A 21,413-nucleotide genomic window follows, 5' to 3' on the forward strand; every position below is an offset into this window, starting at 1 on the left:
GTCCCTGCAAGCTAGCTCATTTGCTTAAATTTCCAGAATGCGTACCTACCTTTGATAAGGAGAGTTATTGAATTGATAAAATTATCGTATGAATGTATATATATTAAACATTGTTTCTGGGCCGCATGGCAAAACCCTGTCTCTACAAAAAAATACCAAAAAAAAAAAAAAAATGCCAGGCATGGTGGTACACTCCTGAAGTCCCAGCTACTTGGGAGGCCGAGGCGGGAGGATCCCTTGAGCCCAAGAGTTTGAGGCTGCAGTGAACCGTAACCATGCCACTACACTACACTGGGAACAGAGTAAGAGCCTGTCTCAAAAATAAATAAATAAATACTTCAAAAAAAAAAAAACTTTGTTTCCAAAATATAAATTAGTCAGTTTGGTTTTTCTTATTTGCATCTTTATCTTTCTTTCTTTTTTTGTAGAGACAGGACCTTGCTATGTCGACCAGGCTGGTCTTGAACTCCTGGCCTCAGGCTATCCTCCCACCCTGGCCTCCCAAAGTGCTGGGACTGCAAGCATCAGCCACTGTACCCCGCCTCTTATTTGTATCTTCTTTTGACATCTGAGCTTGCAACTCTCACTTATGTCTGAGTTTCCCTTCCTCTATGGCTGGGACCTTAAGCAATAATACTTCTGATAAACTGTGCGCCAGATGGCCAAACATTGCCTAAAAAAAATGACTAAGAAAGAGGCCTTTGAAAAGAACATTGTGAAGTGGGGATGACTGATGATGTAAATAGGAAAAATGAACAAATGTGTGAAGAAAACATTTGCAAACAGACGTCTACATCTAAATCCCAAGTCAGCAAATCTAGTATTCAGGAAAAATACCAAATAGGCAGAAACTTTTTGGTTTCTTCAGCTTTAATATACACAGTAGACAAATTTTCCTTTGGTTTGGAAAATGTTCCTGCCAAAACTTGTATTTCTTATACATGGAAATGTGGTCAAGGAGGCAGCTGTACAGTGGTTACATTTGTGAGAGCTGGAGTGGCTTCCCTTGGTTCATCTCACACAATCCCCTAAGTGGTAGGAAGACCCGTATCCCAGGGCTGGGGTGCCCAGGTGTCAGAGTGCGGTAACGTTCGCTGAGCACCTATGGTGTCCAGGTACTGAGCTGGGAACTTATATTTGTATCATCTTACTTTGGCCCCCAACAATTCTGTGAAACAGGTATCATACCTATTTTATAGATGAATAAGTAGAAGTGTGAAGAATATAAAAGGATTGGCTGAAAGTGGCACAGCTTTTAAATAGCAAGACCCTAACTTCAGATCTCTGTGATTTCTGTTTTTTTTTTTTTTTTTTAAATAAATGTTAAGAGATATAGCAATGGGGATCTCACCATGTTGTCCAGGCTGGTCTCAAACTCCTGGGCTCAAGCAATCCTCCCTCCTTAGCCTCCCAAAGTACTGGGATTACAGGTGTGAGCCACCATGCCTGGCCAGGTTTCTGTATTAAAACCACTTTTTACTATATCTCAGGTATGGAAATATGAAAACACTGTTGTAGCAGGCGGGTAGTTGAAGCTCTGCACTCAGGGTAGGCTGACGTACTGCCAGGCTCTGACCAGGACCTTACAACAATACCCATCCTTGGAAGGTTTGAGTCAACTTTATAGCTGAATTTGATGCCAGGAGCACAAAGCAAAAGATCCCCATATATAAAGACAAGGTTATAAGGTACAGTGTGCCTGGTACAACTATCTTCCAGAATGCTTCCCAGAAGTAACATAGCTGGGCACCCTGGCACATGTTTATACTCTCAGCTACTTGGAGGTGCTGAGGCAGGAGGATCATTTGAGCCCAGGAGTCAGAGGCCAGCCTGAGCAACATGCTACGAAGGGGGGCAGGCTTCTCTGATAAGGTCGAGCCCAAGTAGGCAATGAGAGCAGAGAATTCCAAAGGGAGAGACAGTTCTGGGCCCGTGAGCCAATCCTGCTAGCCAGGTCCCCTCCAACCCCCTATTCCAGGCAGACCACTTCTGTGTCAAGGTCTGAAATCCAGCCTTGACTTTATTTTATTTATGTATTTTTTGAGACAGCTCTGCTGTACAGGCCAGAATGCAGTGACATGACCATAGCTCACTGTAACCTCAAGCGATCCTCCTGCCTCAGCCTCCCAAGTAGCTGGAACTACAGGCATGTGCCATCACACCTGTCAAATTTTAATTTTTTTTTGTAGAGATGGAGTCTCACTGTGTTGCCCCGGCTATTTTTGAACCCCTGAGATCAAGGGATCCTCCAGCCTTGGCCTCCCAAAGTGCTGGGATTACAAGCGTGAGCCACCACGCTGGGCTAATTTTTAATTTTTTTTTGTAGAGACAAAGTCTCACTATATTGCCCAGGCTATTCTTGAACTCCTAAGCTCAAAGGATCTTCCAGCCTCCTCGGCCTCCCAAAGTGCTGGGATTACAGGTGAGAGCCAGCATGCCTGGCTCTAGCCTTGGCTTTATTAAGGTACAGGCAGGTTTTCCTGCAGGTAGTAAGATGAATAAAGGTTAGATTGGTTTTGAGATCCAGATAGAGGCTAGACTCTAGCCTAGCGCTTCTTTTTTTTTTTTTTTTTTTGAGACGGAGTCTTGCCCTGTCTCCCAGGCTGGAGTGCAGTGGCGTGATCTCTGCTCAGTGCAACCTCCGCCTCCTGGGTTCACGCAATTCTCCTGCCCCAGCCTCCCGAGTAGCTGGGATTACAGGCACATGCCTCCACACCCGGCTAATTTTTGCATTTTTAGTAGAGACGGGGTTTCACCATGTTGGACAGGCTGGTCTCGAACTTCTGACCTCATGATCACCTCAGCCTCCCAAAGTGCTAGGATTACAGGCATGAGCCACCACACCCAGCCTAGCCTAGTGCTTCTTAAACATTCATGTGAGCTCCATGCAGTGTCACATCTATAATCCCAGCACTTTGGAGGCCAAGGCAGGAGGATTGCTTGAGCCCAGGAGTCCAAGGCTACTCTGAGCTATGATTGTGCCACTGCAGCTAAGCCTTGACTACAGAGTGAGACCTTGTTTCTTAAAAATATATATATTCATATACATATATTATTTATTTTCATTTATTATTTATTTATTTATTTTTGAGAGAGAAAGAGACGAAGTTTCACTCTTGTTGCCCAGGCTGGAGTGCAGTGGCGCAATCTCAGCTCACTGCAACCTCCACCTCCCGGGTTCCAGTGATTCTCCTGCCTCAGCCTCCTGAGTAGCTGGGACTACAGGCACCCACCACCACGCCCGGCTAATTTTTGTATTTTTTGTAGAGAAGGGGTTTCACCATGTTGGCCAGGCTGATCTCTAACTCCTTACCTCAAGTGATCCACCTACCTCAACCTCCCAAAGTGCTGGGATTACAGGTGTGAGCCACCATACCCAGCCCTTGAAAATATTTTTTTAAAGAAACTTTAATGTGCAGATAAGTCCCATGGAGGGGACGTGTTAAAATGCAGATTCTGATTCAGAAGGTCTGGTGGGGGTCCAAGACGGTGTTTCTAACAAGCTCCTAACTGATACCCAGGCTGCTGCTGGTCTTAGACCAACCCTTGAGTAGACTTTAGAGGAAGAAGTTTTTATTAGCTGTTTCTACAACACTCCCCACAGAAAGGGCACCCTGTGTGGCCAGCTGGCATGAAAGCGGTTTCTGCTTGGCAGCTATTTTTAGGTAGCTGTAATGCATTCTATTTTTTGCATTCTAAGCTTTTCAGTGGACCAGGGCGATCCCTGGGGCTGTCCCAGCTTCAGCAACGGTCCCTAAGACCATTCAGCTACTTTGCAGCCACTGCACAACTGCCAAACAATCCACTAATCCTGATCTTGAAACAATTTTCCCTCCTGAGAAGACACCAGACCTCAGCAGGAAGACTTGGCCTGCACAGCAGTTCTCTTACCCCACACGAATTAATAAATAGGCCTCATGAATCGGGATTTTGTGCCCTTGGGTAGCGAATTACCTGATGACTCTGGTGAACTGACGAAACTGAGTTTGTGAAACTGTGAGCCGGAAGAACAGTCTACAGCTGTCGTGGACTCCCCTGAACCCCTGGGAAGACGCAGCTCAACAGCCAGTCCACACGAACCCTGCTCTGAAACCTCTCCTGCAGACTGGGCCTGGGCTAGAGAAGAACAGGAGTTTTCTTTTCTCCTTTTTTTTGAGACGGAGTTTTGCTCTTGTTGCCCAGGCTGGAGTGCAGTGGCATGATCGTGGCTCACTGCAACCTCTGCCTCCTGGGTTCAAGTGATTCTCCTGCCTCAGCCTCTGGAGTAGCTGGGATTACAGGCGTGCACCACCACGCCCAACTAATTTTTGTAATTTTAGTAGAGATGGGGTTTCACCGTTTTGGTCAGGCTGGTCTCAAACTCCTGACTTCGAGTGATCCACCCGCCTCGGCCTCCCAAAGTGCTGGGATTACAGAGATGAGCCACCGCGCCAAGCTGTGAATTGATTTTTTAGTGAAACTTCAGGGAGCCAAGGACTTTGGCCCCCACAGTACCATCTGGATTATTGGGAACAGGTGCAAAATATATAGGGCCAGCGAAAACTCTCAAAGGAATGATTGACATTATAAATTTAGAGAGGAAGGACTGCCTTCCTTTCTGTGACAACAGCACTTTAATGTTCCAAAACAGGATGTCCTTGGATTTGGTTTTAATGCTTATGTATATAAGGTTAGCTATTGCCAGGAGACTGATACAATTAATCAGAGTCCATCTCTCCCTTCCAGGCACACCTTCACTTCGCTGCAGTTTCTCATGGCCATAAATCCATTAGAGCAAGAAACAGCAAGATTAGTAGAGGGCCATAAATTTAGATTCTGGGCCATTTTACCTGATAAGTCTTTTTGTTCTTTTCTCTTTTTTTGAGATAGGGTCTCACTCTGTCACCCAGGCTGGAGTGCAGTGGAGTGGCCATGGCTCACCGCAGCCTCTACATCCCAGGCTCCAGCCATCCTACCTCAGCTTGCAGCTGGAACTACAAGAGCACGTCCCCACCCCTGGCTAGTTGTTTTGTAATTTTTGTAGAGACAGGATCTTTCTATGTTGCTAGGGCTGGTCTCAAACTCCTGGGCTCCAGTGATCCACCCACCTTGGCCTCCCAAAGTGCTGGGGTTTCAGGCGTGAATCATCATGCCCAGCCAGAAACCAGTCTTAAAAGACTGTATACTATAATGATTCTATTTATATGACATTCTGGAAAAGGTGAAATTATAGAGACCTAAAATACATCAGTGGTTGCCAGAGGCTTGGAGAATGAAGTATAGGCTGAATAGGTAAACCATATATGATATTTTAGGGCAGCGAAACTCTTCTGTATGGTACATGAGACTGCATTTTTCAAAACCCATAGAACTGGCTGGGTGTGGTGGCTCACGCCTGTAATCCCAGCACTTTGCGAGGCCAAGGCAGCGGATCACTTGAGGTCAGGAGTTTGAGACCAGCCTGGCCAACATGGTGAAACCCCGTCTCTACTGAAAATACAAAAAATAGCTGGGCATGGTGGTGGGTACCTGTAATCCCAGCTACTCAGTAGGCTGAGGCAGGAGAATCACTTGAACCCAGGAGGCAGAAGTTGCAGTGAGCCAAGATGGCACTTCTGCACTCCAGCCTGGGCGACACAGTGAGACATCATCTCAAAAAAAAAAAAAAAAAAAAAAAAAAAAACTTTAGCTGGCTGAGCGGCACGCGCCTGTAGTCCCAGCTACTCAGGAAGGTGAAGCAGGAGGATCCCTTGAATCCAGGAGTTCATGAGCTATGATCATCCCACAGCACTCCAGCCTCCGTGACAGAGCAAAACCCTGTCACTAAAACAAAACAAAACAAACAAACAAAAACCCATAGAGCACAAATTTCTCTACAGCACAAATTTCAACCTTAATATATGCAAATGTTAAAGCGGGAGTGGGAGGGTTCCCAGGATGGAATGCAAACTGTTATAAAGAACCTCACCATGCTACAAACATGACCTAACATCCAAGGGGAAGGAAGGGAAGTGCTGGGTGTTGAAGGGGATGGAAGGGAAGTGCTGGGCATTGAAGGGGATGGAAGGGAAGTGCTGGGCGTTGAAGGGGATGGAAGGGAAGTGCTGGGCGTTGAAGGGGAGGGAAGGGAAGTGCTGGGCGTTGAAGGGGAGGGAAGGGAAGTGCTGGGTGTTGAAGGGGAGGGAAGGGAAGTGCTGGGTGTTGAAGGGGAGGGAAGGGAAGTGCTGGGTGTTGAAGGGGAGGGAAGGGAAGTGCTGGGTATTGAAGGTGAGGGAAGGGAAGTGCTGGGCGTTGAAGGGGAGGGAAGGGAAGTGCTGGGCGTTGAAGGGGAGGGAAGGGAAGTGCTGGGCGTTGAAGGGGATGGAAGGGAAGTGCTGGGTGTTGAAGGGGAGGGAAGGGAAGTGCTGGGCATTGAAGGGGAGGGAAGGGAAGTGCTGGGTATTGAAGGGGAGGGAAGGGAAGTGCTGGGTATTGAAGGGGAGGGAAGGGAAGTGCTGGGTATTGAAGGGGAGGGAAAGGAAGGGAAATGCTGGGTATTGAAGGGGAGGGAAAGGAAGTGCTGGGCATTGAAGGGGATGGAAGGGAAGTGCTGGGTATTGAAGAGGATGGAAGGGAAGTGCTGGGTATTGAAGGGGAGGGAAGGGAAGTGCTGGGTATTGAAGGGGAGGGAAGGGAAGTGCTGGGTATTGAAGGGGAGGGAAGGGAAGTGCTGGGCATTGAAGGGGATGGAAGGGAATTGCTGGGCGTTGAAGGGGATGGAAGGGAAGTACTGGGCGTTGAAGGGGAGGGAAAGGAAGTGCTGGGCATTGAAGGGGAGGGAAGGGAAGTACTGGGTATTGAAGGGGAGGGAAGGGAAGTGCTGGGCATTGAAGGGGATGGAAGGGAAGTGCTGGGCATTGAAGGGGATGGAAAGGAAGTGCTGGGCATTGAAGGGGATGGAAGGGAATTGCTGAGCGTTGAAGGGGATGGAAGGGAAGTGCTGGGCGTTGAAGGGGAGGGAAGGGAAGTGCTGGGCGTTGAAGGGGAGGGAAGGGAAGTGCTGGGCGTTGAAGGGGAGGGAAGGGAAGTGTTGGGCGTTGAAGGGGATGGAAGGGAAGTGCTGGGCGTTGAAGGGGGTGGAAGGGAAGTGCTGGGCGTTGGGGGTGGAAGGGACGTGCTGGGCGTTGAAGGGGATGGAAGGGAAGTGCTGGGCGTTGAAGGGGATGGAAGGGAAGTGCTGGGCGTTGAAGGGGATGGAAGGGAAGTGCTGGGCGTTGAAGGGGATGGAAGGGAAGTGCTGGGTGTTGAAGGGGATGGAAGGGAAGTTCTGGATATTGAAAGAGAAGGAAGGGAAGTGCTGGGTATTGAAGGGGATGGAAGGGAAGCGCTGGTCTAAGTGACTTTGGAAATAAGTGAAGACTATAAGACTAAAAATAAAAGGAACTGTACATAAGCACTGAACTCTAACAGCAAAATTGTTTCCCATGGGGATATGGGTTAACAACTGTGAAACCACTCTACATTGTGCTGGGATTGAATGGATGGCAAGCCAGGGAGCCAGGTAGCTCACCGTTGTCTACACACACACACACACACACACACACACACACACAATTCTCTCTTGCTTATATTAATGTGTATATAAATATACATACATTAACAACTGTGTGTGTGTATATATATACACACATATAAATATATATGCTAATAATCATGTATGTGTTTATGTGTGTGTATGTATTATACAAGAATCATGTATGTGTGTTACATACATGATAGTTAATGTATATATATTTATATGTGTGCACCAGTTAGTACACACATATAAAAACTACAAAGCAAGTCGGCCAGACATGGTGGTTTATGCCTGTATTCCCAGCACTTTGGGAGACCAAGGCAGGAGGATTGCTTGAGCCTATTAGTTCGAGACCAGCTTGGGTAACTTGACAAAACCCTGTGTCTACAAAAAATACAAAAATTAGCCAGGTGTGGTGGCAGGTGCCTGTAATCCCAGCTCCCGAGGAGGCTGAGGTAGGAGGATCACCTGAGCCCGGAAGGTCAAGGCTGCAGTGAGCTATGATCGCACCACTGCACTCCATCCTCGGTGACAGAGTGAGACCCTCTCTAAAAAAAAAAAAAAAAGTCTGAAAAAGAAAACACAACAAGTATAGAGAAAGTCAAGAAAACTGAAGTTGTCTTTTTGAAAAGACCAACAAAACTGACAAAACAGTCTGGCGCTCACGCCTGTAATCCCAGCACTTTGGGAGGCTGGGGTGGGAGGATCACTTGAGGCCAGGAATTAGACACCAGCCTGGGCAACAGAGCAAGACTCCTGACCCCCAAGTCTCTACATGAATTTTTTTGTTTGTTTGTTTGTTTGAGATGGAGTCTCACTCTGTCGCCCAGGCTGGAGTGCCCAGGCTGGAGTGCAGTGGCGCGATCTCGGCTCACTGCAACCTCTGCCTCCCGGGTTCCCGCCATTCTCCTGCCTCAGCCTCCTGAGTAGCTGGGACTACAGGCACCCGCCACCGCGCCCGGCTAATTTTTTGTGTGTTTTTTAGTAGAGATGGAGTTTCACCATGTTAGCCAGGATGGTCTTGATCTCCTGACCTCGTGATCCGCCCACCTCGGCCTCCCAAAGTGCTGGGATTACAGGCGTGAGCCACCGCGCCCGGCCGAAAATTTTTAAAAATTAGGCATAGTGGAAACCTGTAGTCCTAGCTACTTGGGAGGCTGAAGAAGGATTGCTTGAGCCGAGGAGTGACCAATGATCAAGCCACTGCACTCCAGCCTGAGTGGCAGAGTGACACCCTGTCTCGATTTTTTAAAAAACTGACAAATCTTTTGCTAAACTGACCATTTTAAAAAGAGAAAAAGTGGCCAGGAGGGTGGCTCACGCCTGTAATCCCAGCACTTTGGGAGGCCAAGGCAGGCGGATCACGAGGTTAGGACATCGAGACCATCCTGGCCAACATGGTGAAAACCCATCTCTACTAAAAATAGAAAAAAAATTAGCTGGACGTGGTGGTTGGCACCTGTAGTCCCAGCTACTCGGGAGGCTGAGCCAGGACAATCACTTGAACCCAGGAGGTGGAGGTTGCAGTGAGCTGAGATCGTGCCACTCCACTCCAGCCTAGCGACAGAGCAAGACTCTCTCTCAAAAAAAGAAAAAAAGTTCAATATATGAAAATCAGCAATTAAAGAGGACATCACTATATACCTTACAGAAAAAAAAATAAATAAAAGGTGGCCAGGTACAGTAGCTCATGCCTGTAGTCCCAGCACTTTGGGAGGCTGAGGCAGGCAGATTGCTTGAGCCCAGGAGATCTGTTGTCCAGGAGATCTGAGATCAGCCTGGACAACATGACAAAACCCCATCTCTACAAAAAATACAAAAATTAGGCAGGTGTGGTGGCACAGGCCTGTAGTCCCAGCTACTCAGGGAGGCAGAGGCAAGAGGATGGCTTGAGCCCTGGAGGTTGAGGCTGCAGTGAACCCTGACGGTGCCCTGCACTGCAGCCTGGGTGACAAAGTGAGATCCTGTCTCAAAAAATAAATAAATAAAAATAGATTATAAAAGAATACCATGAATAACCATATGCCAACAAATTAGATAACTTATATAAAATAAAATGGGCACATTCCTTGAAAGACACAAATTTCTGAAACAGACAGAAGAAGAAGGAGAATATCTAAATAGACCTATAGACCTACAGCAAGTAAAGAGATTGAATTCATACTGACAGTGGCTCACACCTATAATCCCAGCACTTTTCAAGGCCGAGGCAGGAGGAGCACTTGAGCCTATGAGTTCAAGTCCAGCCTAGACAATGTAGCAAGACACTGCCTCTAATACAAAAATTAACACTAAAACAACAAAAACACTCAACAAACTAAAAGGAGCTACCTCAATCCAATAAAGGGCACATACAAAAAAACCTACAGCTAACAAAGTGAAAGACTTTCTCCCTACCAAAACAAAGATGTCCACTCTCACCTGTTCAACACTGTGAAGGAGGTTCTAGCCAAAGCAATTAGACAAGAAAAAGAAACAAACAGGCTGGGTGCGGTGGCTCATGCCTGTAATCCCAGCACTTTGGGAGGCCGAGGCGGGTGGATCAACAAGTCAGGAGTTCGAGACCAGCCTGGCCAACAAAGTGATACCCTGTCTCTACTAAAAATGCAAAAAATTAGGGGGTCGTGGTGGTGGGTGCCTCTAATTCCAGCTACCAAGGAGGCTGAGGCAGGAGAATCCCTTGAACCCAGGAGGCAGAGGCTGCAGTGAGCTGAGATCGTGCCATTGCACTGCAGCCTGGGCAACACGAATGAAACTCCATCTCAGAAAAAAATAAAAGAAAAAGAAACAAAAGGTATTCAGATTGGAAAGGAAGAATTGAAACTATCTCTGCTTATAAATGATATGATTTTATATAGAGAGAATCCTAATGAATCCAACAAAAAGCTACTAGTATTTACATGTATATTTCCCAGCTCTGTCCACTTAGAGGCCCCAGAAACAATATCCAGGTAGCAATGAGAACACACCCAGTGTCCAGATCTCGGTTTCTAATACCATTCCCCAGAGCAGAGGACCCTGGTTTCTCATACCATTCCCCAGAACAGAGGACCCTGGTTTCTCATACCATTCCCCAGTAGAGAGGACACTGCTTTCTAATACCATTCCCCAGAACAGAGGACCCTGCTTTCTAATACCATTCCCCAGTACAGAGGACCCTGCTTTCTAATACCATTCCCCAGTAGAGAGGACCCTGGTTTCTCATACCATTCGCCAGTGCAGAGGACCCTGCTTTCTAATACGATTCCCCAGAACAGAGGACCCTGGTTTCTCATACCATTCGCCAGTGCGGAGGACCCTGCTTTCTAATACCATTCCCCAGTAGAGAGGACCCTCGTTTCTAATACCATTCCCCATTGCAAAGGAACCAGCCTCCCTGGAGAAATGCCTGATTTCTTTTTTTATTTTTTGAGATGGGGTCTCGCTCGTCATCAGGCTGCAGTGCAGTGGCGTGATCTCGGCTTACCTCAACCTCCGCCTCCTGGGTTCCAGCGATTCTCCTGCCTCAGCCTCCCGAGTAGCTGGGATTACAGGCGCCCACCACCACACCCAGCTAATTTTTGTATTTTTGGTAGAGACAGGGTTTCACCATGTTGGCCAGGCTGGTTCAATCTCTTGACCTCATGATCTTCCCGCCTCGGCCTCCCAAAGTGCTAGGATTACAGGTGTGAGCCACACTGCCCGGCCCTGATGGTTTTGTTGTTTTTTTTTTTTTTTTTTTTTTTTTTTTAGTAAATAAACTTGTACCAGAAGAAATGGCTGATTCTAAGCCTGGGTCAGGAAATATCCAATATGAACCTGGAGCATCTTCTAGTGCCAGAAAGTACGAAAGAGCTCAAAGAACAAAATGGTGGGGATATGTCTATGGACACAGAAGCCAACTACAGAAGCTCCCAATGGCCAAAGCTGGAGCAATTTATACTACAGAATGAAGAGCCTAATACAGATTATAACCCAAAGTATAAAAAATAAATATCCATGAGACCCCACTGCCATAAATAAGTGATTGCCTAAACAAATAAATGAGGACGAATAGGCAACTCTCTTGTACAGTGGAACTCTAGATGATATACTGACATTTATCATGGAGGAGGTGGGGCATAACTCCCTACCGCTGAGGCAGGAGTTGCATAGAGTGACTTCCTACTAAAGAGTATAGTACGGAAAGCGGAGGAAAGGCCGGGCACGGTGGCTCACGCCTATAATCCCAGCACTTTGGGAGGCCAAGGCGGGTGGATCACGAGGTTAGGAGTTCAAGACAAGCCTGGCCAACATGGTGAAACCCCATCTCTACTAAAAATACAGAAAATTAGCCAGGCATGGTGGCAGGTGCCTGCAATCCCAGCTACTCAGGAGGCTGAGGCAGGAGAATCGCTTGAACCCAGGAGGCAGAGGTTGCCGTGAGCCGAGATTGCGCCATTGCACTCCAGCCCGGGCAATAACGCGAGACTCCATCTCAAACAAACAAACAAACTAAAAAGAAAATGGCACTTTATCTCTGTGGTTTTCCTCCCCAAAACCCCAAACCCCAAACCCCAGTCTAATCATGAGAAAAACATCAGACAAATCCCAGTTGAAGGACATTCTACAACATGTATGACCAGTACTCCTTAAAACCGTCAAGTTCATTTAAAAAAAAGAAGGGCTGGACGCGGTGGCTCACACCTGTAATCCCAGCACTTTAGGAGGCCGAGGTGGGCGGATCACCTGAGGTCAGGAGTTCGAGACCAGCCTGGCCAACATGGTGAAACCCCGTCTCTACTAGAAATACAAAAATTATCCGGGTGTGGTGGCTCGAACCTGTAGTCTCAGCTACTTGGGGGGTTGAGGCGGTAGGATTGTTTGAGCCCAGGAGGCAGGGGTTGCAGTGAGCTGACATTGTGCCACTGTGTTCCAACCTGGGTGGACAGAGTGAGACCCTGTGTGAGAAACTTACATTTTATTTTATTTAGGTATTTGGTTTTGGGATTACAGGCATGAGCCTCCGCGCCTGGCCGAAACTTACATTTCAGAAGAGCGTAAGGAGACCTAATGACTGAATGTGATATGGCATCCTAGCTGAAATGCTAGAAATAGAACACTGGGTAAGAACGAAGGTAACCCAAATTATGTATGGTCTTCAGAAGACTGTATGAATATTGACTCATAGGTTTTGATAAATGTACCATAGTAATGGGATAACAATAGGAGAAACTGAGTGTATGGGTATATGGAAACTCTATATTTGATCGATTGATTGATTGAGATAGGGTCTCACTTTGTTGCCCAGGTTGGAGTGCAGTGGTGTGAACATGACTCACTGCAACCTCAACATTCCGGGCTCAAAACATCTTCACGAAGCTGCCCAAGTAGCTGGGAATACAGAAGCATGCCTTGCCAGTTTTTACAATTTGTGAAGAGATGGGGTTTCTTTGTTTTCTTTCTCTTTTTTTTTTTTTTCGAGACAGAGTCTCACTCTGTCACCCAGGCTGGAGTGCAGTGGTGCGATCTCAGCTCACTGCAACCTCCGCCTCCCAGGTTCAAGCAATTCTTCTGCCTCAGCCTCCCGCGTAACTGGGATTACAGGCGCCCGCCACCACACTCAGCTAATTTTTATATTTTTAATAGAGATGGAGTTTTGCCATGTTGGCCAGGCTGGTTCCAAACTCCTGACCTCAGGTGATCCACCCACCTCGGCCTCCCAAGGTGCTGGGATTACAGGCGTGAGCCACCGGGCCTGGCCGAGATGGGGTTTCAACATCTTGTCCAGGTTGGTCTTGAACTCCTGGGCTCAGGTGATTTTCCCAACTTGCCCTCCCAGTGTGCTGGGATTATAGTCCTGAGCCTCCAGGCCCAGCCATCTCTACACTATCCTTGCAAATTTTTTGTAAATCAAAAATATTCTAAAGCAAAAATTTATTGAGAAAAATATACACATACATATCACATGTACACACATACACATAGTTGCAGAAAAGGGAACAGAAGAAAAAATAGTTTAAAAAACCTTTTTGTTTTTCCATTAAATATTCTTTAATAAATATGTACTACTTTGAACATAAAAAATGCTTTTCTTTAAACTATGAGAATAGAAAATGCTTATTTGTTTGAAATGTAACCCTGGCTTTCTCTTTCTACTGTATTCTACCCATTACTATTCTATATTTTGTATTTTATTATATTATTACTATTTTTGAGACAGGATCTCACTCTGTCACCCAGGCTGAGTGCAGTGGCATGATCACAGCTCACTGCAGCCTTGACCCCCCCAGGCTCAAGTGATCCTCCCACCTCAGCCTCCTGAGCAGCTGGGGCTATAGGTGAGTGACACCACACCTGGATAATTTTTTGTTTTTTGTAGACAGGGTCTTACCATATTGCCCAGGCTGGTCTTGAACTCCTGGGCTCAACTGATCCTTCCACCTCAGCCTCCTGATTAGCTGGGACTATAGGTGCGTGCCACCACATTTGGTTCATTTCTTATGTTTTGTACACAGGGTCTCGCCATACTGCCCAGGCTGGTCTTCAACTCCTGGGCTCAAGTGATCCTCTCACCTCAGTCTCCCAAAGTGTTGGGATTACAGGTGCGAGCCGCTACGCTCAGCCTTTTTTATTTTTATTTATTTATTTATTTGAGTCAGAATCTAGCTCTGTCACCCAGGCTGGAGTGCAATGGTGAGATCTTGGCTCACTGCAACCTCCGCATCCCGGGTTCAAGCAATTCTCCTGCCTCAGCCTCCAGAGTAGCTGGGATTAGAGGTGCCCGCCACCACTCCCAGCTAGTGTGTGTGTGTGTTTAGTAAAGACAAGGTTTCACCATATTGGTCAGGCTGGTCTTGAACTCCTGACCTCGTGATCCACCCACCTCTGCCTCCCAAAGTGCTGGGATTACAGGGGTGAGCCACCACACCCAGCCAGCCTATTTTATTTTATTTTATTTTGAGACAGGGTCTCGCTCTGGTGCTGGAGTGCAGTGGCATGAGGTTGCTTACTGCAGCCCCAACCTTTTGCGCTCGAGTGATCCTCCCACCTCAGCCTTCTGAGTAGCTGGGATCATAGGCACGTCCTACCATGCCCAGCCAATTTTTAGTTGTTGTTTACAGACACAGTGTCTCTTCCTAATGCAGTCTCCCTTAGTATCTCACTGGTCTTTAAGTAAAAAAGAAAAAATTTAAAAATTGGAATAACAAAAGATATGTGGTCTCCCTGTGTTCCCCAAGCTGGTCTTGAACTCCTGGGCTCAAGCAATCCTCCTGCTTCGGCCTCCCAAAGTGCTAGGATTACAGGTGTGAGACACTGCACCTGGCCTACTCTTCTATAATAAGAGTCTCATCTTTCTCTTATGTTGAACGTGATACAGATACTGGGTTCTTTTTAACTTTTTTTTTTATTTGAGATGGAGTCTCGCTCTGTCGCCCAGGCTGGAGTGCAGCGGCGCGATCTCGGCTCACTGCAAGCTCCACCTCCTAGGTTCACGCCATTCTCCTGCCTCAGCCTCCCAAGTAGCTGGGATTACAGGCGCCCGCTGCCACGCCCGGCTAATTTTTTGTATTTTTAGTAGAGACGGGGTTTCGCTGTGTTAGCCAGGATGGTCTCGATCTCCTGACCTCTTGATCCGCCCGCCTCGGCCTCCCAAAGTGCTGGGATTACAGGAGTGAGCCACCGCGCCTGTCATCTTTTTAACATTTTTTAAGGAATTCTTATTTGCCATGAGCCAAGGAATGCACAGAGACTAGATTCCCATGGACAGCTCACTCCTACCGAACACATACAATGGGACACACCTGTGCTGGGTGAAAGGCGCAGCCTAGAGGGCTGGCAGGTGTTGGGTGAGGCTCAGGTTTCAGGCTGAGGGGAGGAGGGTCAGCTGGCAGATCCTCAGCAACTCTGGCAGCCTCACAGGGCCACAGCCCCCCTGGAGCTCTTGGTTCCCCCAGGGTCAAACCAGGTCTCAGTCATGGAGCTAGGATCAAGCTTTCCTACCCTCCTCAGTAGGAGGCCCCCTTCTTCCCAGGAGGGAGAGCTAGGGGAAGGGAGATAGTGGAGGGTGAGGGAACGGCATTCGCATTTGTAAGCAGTGCCCTGGAGCTGCATGCTGGAGATAAGAGAAGGCCCCTCCCGAGGCTGGGAGCAGAGGGAGCTGCAGCCTGAGGCTTGGGCAGGACAGGTGAACCCAGGTTTCCCAACCACTGAATCACCCTTTGCCCCACCACGCACATGCGCTCTTGCGTGTGGACGCACGTGCACACACACGCACACCCCACAGCTTCCACGTGGCAATGTGTCTAAGCCCAAGATCCTGGACAGCCCAGACACAGAACTGCCATGAGAACCCACAGCAGTCCCACTCGGGAGCCCTCATCAGCACTGCTGAGTGCCAACCGAACAACAGTGAGAACGAGAACACAGACCCTTATCCTGGGACCACACAGTTGGCTTCTCAAGGCTTCATGAAATTCTTCTTTTTATTTTTTCTTTGAGACACAGTCTTGCTCTGTCACCTAGGCTGGAGTGCAGTGGCGTGATCCTGGCTTACTGCAACCTCTGCTTCCCAGGCTCAAACAATTCTCATGCCTCAGCCTCCCAAGTAGCAGGGACTACAGGCATGTGTCACCACACCCAGCTAATTTTGGGGGTATTTTTTCTTCTTTTTTTTTTGAGACAGAGTCTCACACCATCACCCAGGCTGGAGCGCAGTTGTGCGATCTCGGCTCACTGCAACCTCTGTCTCCCAGCTTCAAGCAATTCTCCTGCCTCAGCCTCCCAAGTAGCTGGGATTACAGGCACCTGCCACCACCTGCTAATTTTTTGTATTTTTAGTAGAGACGGGGTTTCACTATGTTGGCCAAGCTGGTCTCAAACTCCTGACCTCGTGATCCACATGCCTCAGCCTCCCAAAGTGCTGGGATTACAGGCATGAGCCACCGCGCCCAGCCTAATTTTTGTATTTTTAGTAGAGATGGGGTTTCTCCATGTTGGCCAGGCTGGTCTCAAACTCCTGGCCTCAAGTGATCCGCCCACCTTGGCCTCCCAAAGTGCTGGGATTACAAGTGTAAGCCACTGTGCCTGGCCTAAATTCTTCTTTAGCATCATGCAATCTGCCTTAATTGAGAAATGTTATCACGAAAACCCACATGAAACTCAATATTGCACTTACTGTAGGAGCTATTATTGGAAGCTAGTGATCCTGAGAACTTGCCTAGAGTTTCAGTGCAAGAAAAGGCTGGCTTCGGCTGGGTGCAGTGGCTCTCGCCTGTAATCCTAGCACTCTGGGAGGCCGAGGCGGGTGGATCATGAGGTCAGGAGATCGAGACCATCCTGGCTAACATGATGAAACCCCGTCTCTACTAAAAATACAAAAAAAAAAAAAAAAAAAAAAAAAAGCTGGGCATGGTGGCGAGTGCCTGTAGTCCCAGCTACTCGGGAGGCTGAGGCAGGAGAATGGCGTGAACCCGGGAGGCGGAGTTTGCAGTGAGCCAAGATCGTGCCACGGCACTCCAGCCTGGGCGACAGGGCAAGACTCCGTCTCAAAAAAAGAAAAAAAAAAGAAAAGGCTGGCTTCTCCTGATTAATGGTCATCTTATTTTTGACACAATTTGTAATAACTTTTTTTTTTGAGACAGAATCTTGCTCTGTTGCCCAGGCTGGAGTGCAGTGGCGTGATCTGGGCTCACTGCAAGCTCTGCCTCCTGGGTTCACACCATTCTCCTGCCTCAGCCTCCTGGGTAGCTGGGACTACAGGCACCCGCCACCATGCCTGGCTACTTTTTTGTATTTTTTAGTAGAGACGGGGTTTCACCATGTTAGCCAGGATGGCCTCGGTCTCCTGACCTTGTGATCCACCCGCCTCGGCCTCCCCGAGTGCTGGGATCACAGGCGTGAGCCACCGCACCTGCCACGTAGAGCCTATTTTCTTATCCATAAAACAATACCTACTTCACGGGGTTGTTCTGAGGATTAAGACAATCTATGTAAAATAATTAGCCAATACACAACCTATAGCATGCTCAGTAAATGGTAGCTGGTATAACAATTATGGGTTTCTTGTTTGTTTTTTTGTTTGAGATGCAGTCTGGCTGTTGCCCAGGCTGGTCTTAAATTCCTGGGCTCAAGCAGTCCTCCCGCCTCGGCCTCCCAAAGTGTTGGGATTATGAGCACGAGCCACCACATCCGGATAAAGGAAGTCCCTGTCCGGGATCACCTGAGGCTAAAGAGAGCTGCGTCACCCAACGTCATGCTCCCCCTAGGGACAGCTGCATTCCTGACAAGGGCCATCCCAGCTCCAGAGAGTCACTCCTATTGAGAGATTTGCTGAGGCCTTTGTTTCCTGAGCTCCAGGCCGACGTCCCCTAATCCTGCAGCCCTGCCTCCTCACAGGTATTAATCCTGAGGGCATTTTTTTTCTTTCTTTTTGGGCGGGGGGCGGGGGGGGCACGAGGTTTTGCTCTTACTGCCCAGGCTAGAGTGCAATGGCACAATCTTCACTCACTGCAACTTCCAACTCCCGGGTTCAAGCGATTGTCCTGCCTCCGCCTCCTGAGTAGCTGGGGTTACAAGCATGCGCCACCGCGCCCAGCTAATTTTGTATTTTTAGTAGAGATGGGGTTTCACCATGTTGGTCAGGCTGGTCTTGAACTGCTGACCTCAGGTGACTCACCCACCTTGGCCTCCCAAAGTGCTGGGATTACAGGCATGAGCCACAGTGCCCGGCCTCCTGAGGGCATCTTTAATAAACTTCCTGATCACAAATCTCCCTCTTGGTCTGCTTCCCAGACACCCAACCTCTGTCTGTTGTAAGGAGAGGTTATTAAATGGCCCTGTCTCTGACAGTCTAATGTATTTCTCTCCACAATGGCATGTACCCTCCTAGTTCCCCTGAGAGTACACTGTCTTCTTGGGGATGCATCTAGACCTGGTAATTTCTAGAAACTGATCGAAGTTAGAGACTGGGAGAAAATACAGAAATCCTAATCCTGGCCGGGCGCGGTGGCTCACGCTTGTAATCCCAGCACTTTGGAGGCCGAGGCGGGCGGATCACGAGGTCAGGAGATGGAGACCATCCTGGCTAACGCGGTGAAACCCCACCTCTATTAAAAATACAAAAAGTTAGCCGGGCGTGGTGGCGGGCGCCTGTAGTCCCAGCTATTCGGGAGGCTGAGGCAGGAGAATGGCGTGAACCCGGGAGGCGGAGCCTGCAGTGAGCCGAGATCACGCCAGTGCACTCCAGCCTGGGCCACAGAGTGAGACTCCGTCTCAAAAAAAAAAAAAAAAAAGAAATCCTAATCGTTCCTGCACCAATTCCCATCCTTACTTCCTACTTCGCCCTGCCCAAATGAAAAAATACAAAAATTAGCTGGTCGTGGTGGCGGGCACCTGTAATCCCAGCTACTCGGGAGGCTGAGGCAGGAGAATCGCTTGAACCCAGGAGGCGGAGCTTGCAGTGAGCCGAGATCGCGCCACTGCACTCCAGCCTGGGCAACAAAGAGCAAAACTCCGTCTCAAAAAAAAACACAAAAGATTACAACTCCAAGACCAGCCTGGGCAACATGGTGAAACCCTGTCTCGACAAAAACACAGACATTAGCCTGGTGTGGTGGTGTGTGCCTGTGGTCCCAGCTATTCAGGAGGCTGAGGTGGGAGGCAGAGGTTGCAGTGAGCCAAGATCATGCCACTGCACTGTAGCCTGGGCGATGGAGCGAGACCCTATAGTAACAAAACAAAACAACAACAAAAAAATTCCACAAACGACTAAAGAGGAACAAACCAATCAGACTTCTCAGAAGTACTTGGCACTGAACTTTTCAAAGGATCCTTACCAAAATCGAGCTTTTTTGTTTTCCCTCTGAAGTCTCATGTTAAGCAAGAGGGGAAAACCCAGTGTCTGCCTGGGGTAAGAAAAGTCGCAAAAGTCTTCAAAGGTCATCAAGGTTTTAAATGTTCACAGTAATGAGTTTCTTTTTTTTTTCTTTTTTTTTTTTGAGATGGAGTCTTGCTCTGTCGCCCAGGCTAGAGTGTAGTGGCATGATTTTGGCTCACTGCAACCTCCACCTCCTGAGTTCAAGCGATTCTCCTGCCTCAGCCTCCCGAGTAGCTGGGACTACAGGCACCCACTACCATGCCCAACTAATTTTTTGTATTTCTAGTAGAGACGGGGTTTCACCGTGTTAGCCAGGATGGTCTCGATCTCCTGATCTCATGATCCACCTGCCTCGGCTTCTCAAAGTGCTGGGATTACAGGCGTGAGCCACCACGCCTGGCTCCAAGTTTCTTCATGGAGCTCTATCTGCAAGGATCTGAGTCGAGAGGGCACACACACAGGAGGCAAATTCACGACCTGAACCAAGGCCCATTCTCCTGAGAGACTTTCAGGTCACTGACGTAGCTACAGATATTGGAAAAAAATGCATCTGTAGTAGTTCAGTTGAGGAGAGGGGATGGGTGGCAGTAAATCTTAAGGGGCTCAGGGGCATCTATTCCAAATTTCCAGAGAGGGTCCTCACAGTCTGTCATTGCATATACATCAAATGTAAATGTATCCTTAGGGGGGTTTTTGGTTTTGTTTTCAGAGACAGAGTCTCACTCTGTTGCCCAGGCTGGAGTGCAGTGGTACAATCACAGCTCACTACAGCCTTCAACTCCTGGGCTCGAGGGATCCTCGCACCTAAGCCTCCTCAGGAGCTGGGACTATAAGGGCATGGGCCACCACACCCAGCTAATTTTTAATTTTTTTATTTGTGATATGGTCTTGATCTGTCATCCAGGCTGGAGTGCAGTGGCATGATCACAGCTCACTACGGCCTTGACCTCCTGGGTCCACCTCAACCTCCCAAGTAGCTGGGACTACAGGTGCATGCCATCATGCCTGTGTTTCATTATATATATATATGTTGAGAGAGAGAGAGAGAGAGAGAGAGAGAGAGTAGAGAGAGAGAGTAGATATGGGGTTTCACCATTTTGCCCAGGCTGGTCTTGAACTCCTGGGCTCAAGCAATCCTCTTGCCTCAGCCTCCCAAAGTGGTGGGATTACAGGAGTGAGCCACCACACCCAGAGAATTTTTAAATTTTTTGTGGCGATGGAGTCTCGCTCTGTTGCCCAGGCTTGTTTCAAACTCCGAGCCTCAAGCAATCCTCCCACCTTGGCCTCCCAAAGCACTGGGATGACAGGTGTGAGACAGCATGCCCAGGCATGAATGTGTCTTTAAACATACCTTTTACTTTCTTTTTTTTTTTTTTTAACTGTAGTCATAATAGCTATTTACTTGGGTAAAATTTTCTCAGGATATTTTTGGTATGTGGGGCAGAGGGAGAGCTAGCAAGTGAGAGAAGCTGTCTTTTCAGTACAAAGAGCTCACAGTACTCCGGTCTCCACTGGAAGTTCCGTCTTTATTTTTAAAGGAATCTGGTCATGAGTCTGTTGACCAAGCACATCCTGGTAATCTATTGTCAGATGAGAAGTGTTCTGGATTTCCAACTTATACCATGCATGATAGATGCTGAGTTTCAAGCATAAAACTACTCTAGTTACCAAGATCATACTGCTTTTATGTTGATATAACTTAATTTTATTATTTGCTTCACCTCCCACCAGAATCACTTATTTGCTCACTTTTCTTGTCTATGCTCTAGAATGCACTTACTGCTTAAGCGGCATATTATATGAACCATCCTTTTACATTATAGTTTATTAAAAAGTGGCTTTTGCCGAGTGTGGTGGCTCACGCCTGTCATCCCAGCACTTTGGGAGGCCGAGACAGGTGGATCACGAGGTCAGGAGATCGAGACCATCCTGGCTAACACAGTGAAACCCCGTCTCTACTAAAAATACAAAAAATTAGCCGGGTGTGGTGGCGGGCGCCTGTAGTCCCAGCTACTCGGGAGGCTGAGGCAGGAGAATGGTGTG

At 48.0% G+C, this 21,413-nt stretch overlaps 3 annotated features.

The window, feature by feature from the left end:
* Nucleotides 4,048-4,097: an enhancer, noted in NCBI's record as "active region_21065". NCBI's record gives its function as "activates an Ori minimal core promoter by ATAC-STARR-seq in GM12878 lymphoblastoid cells {active_cell/tissue: GM12878}" and the evidence as "EXISTENCE:reporter gene assay evidence [ECO:0000049][PMID:35858748]".
* Nucleotides 19,073-19,132: a silencer, noted in NCBI's record as "silent region_15054". NCBI's record gives its function as "represses an Ori minimal core promoter by ATAC-STARR-seq in GM12878 lymphoblastoid cells {active_cell/tissue: GM12878}" and the evidence as "EXISTENCE:reporter gene assay evidence [ECO:0000049][PMID:35858748]".
* Nucleotides 20,513-20,630: a silencer, noted in NCBI's record as "fragment chr3:195840246-195840363 (GRCh37/hg19 assembly coordinates)". NCBI's record gives its function as "represses an EF-1alpha promoter that drives an FKBP-Casp9 reporter gene in an ReSE screen in phorbol 12-myristate 13-acetate-treated (for megakaryocytic differentiation) K562 erythroleukemia cells {active_cell/tissue: K562(+PMA)}" and the evidence as "EXISTENCE:reporter gene assay evidence [ECO:0000049][PMID:32094911]".

Source organism: Homo sapiens, chromosome 3, assembly GCF_000001405.40.
Source record: "Homo sapiens chromosome 3, GRCh38.p14 Primary Assembly".
Lineage (NCBI taxonomy): Eukaryota > Metazoa > Chordata > Mammalia > Primates > Hominidae > Homo > Homo sapiens.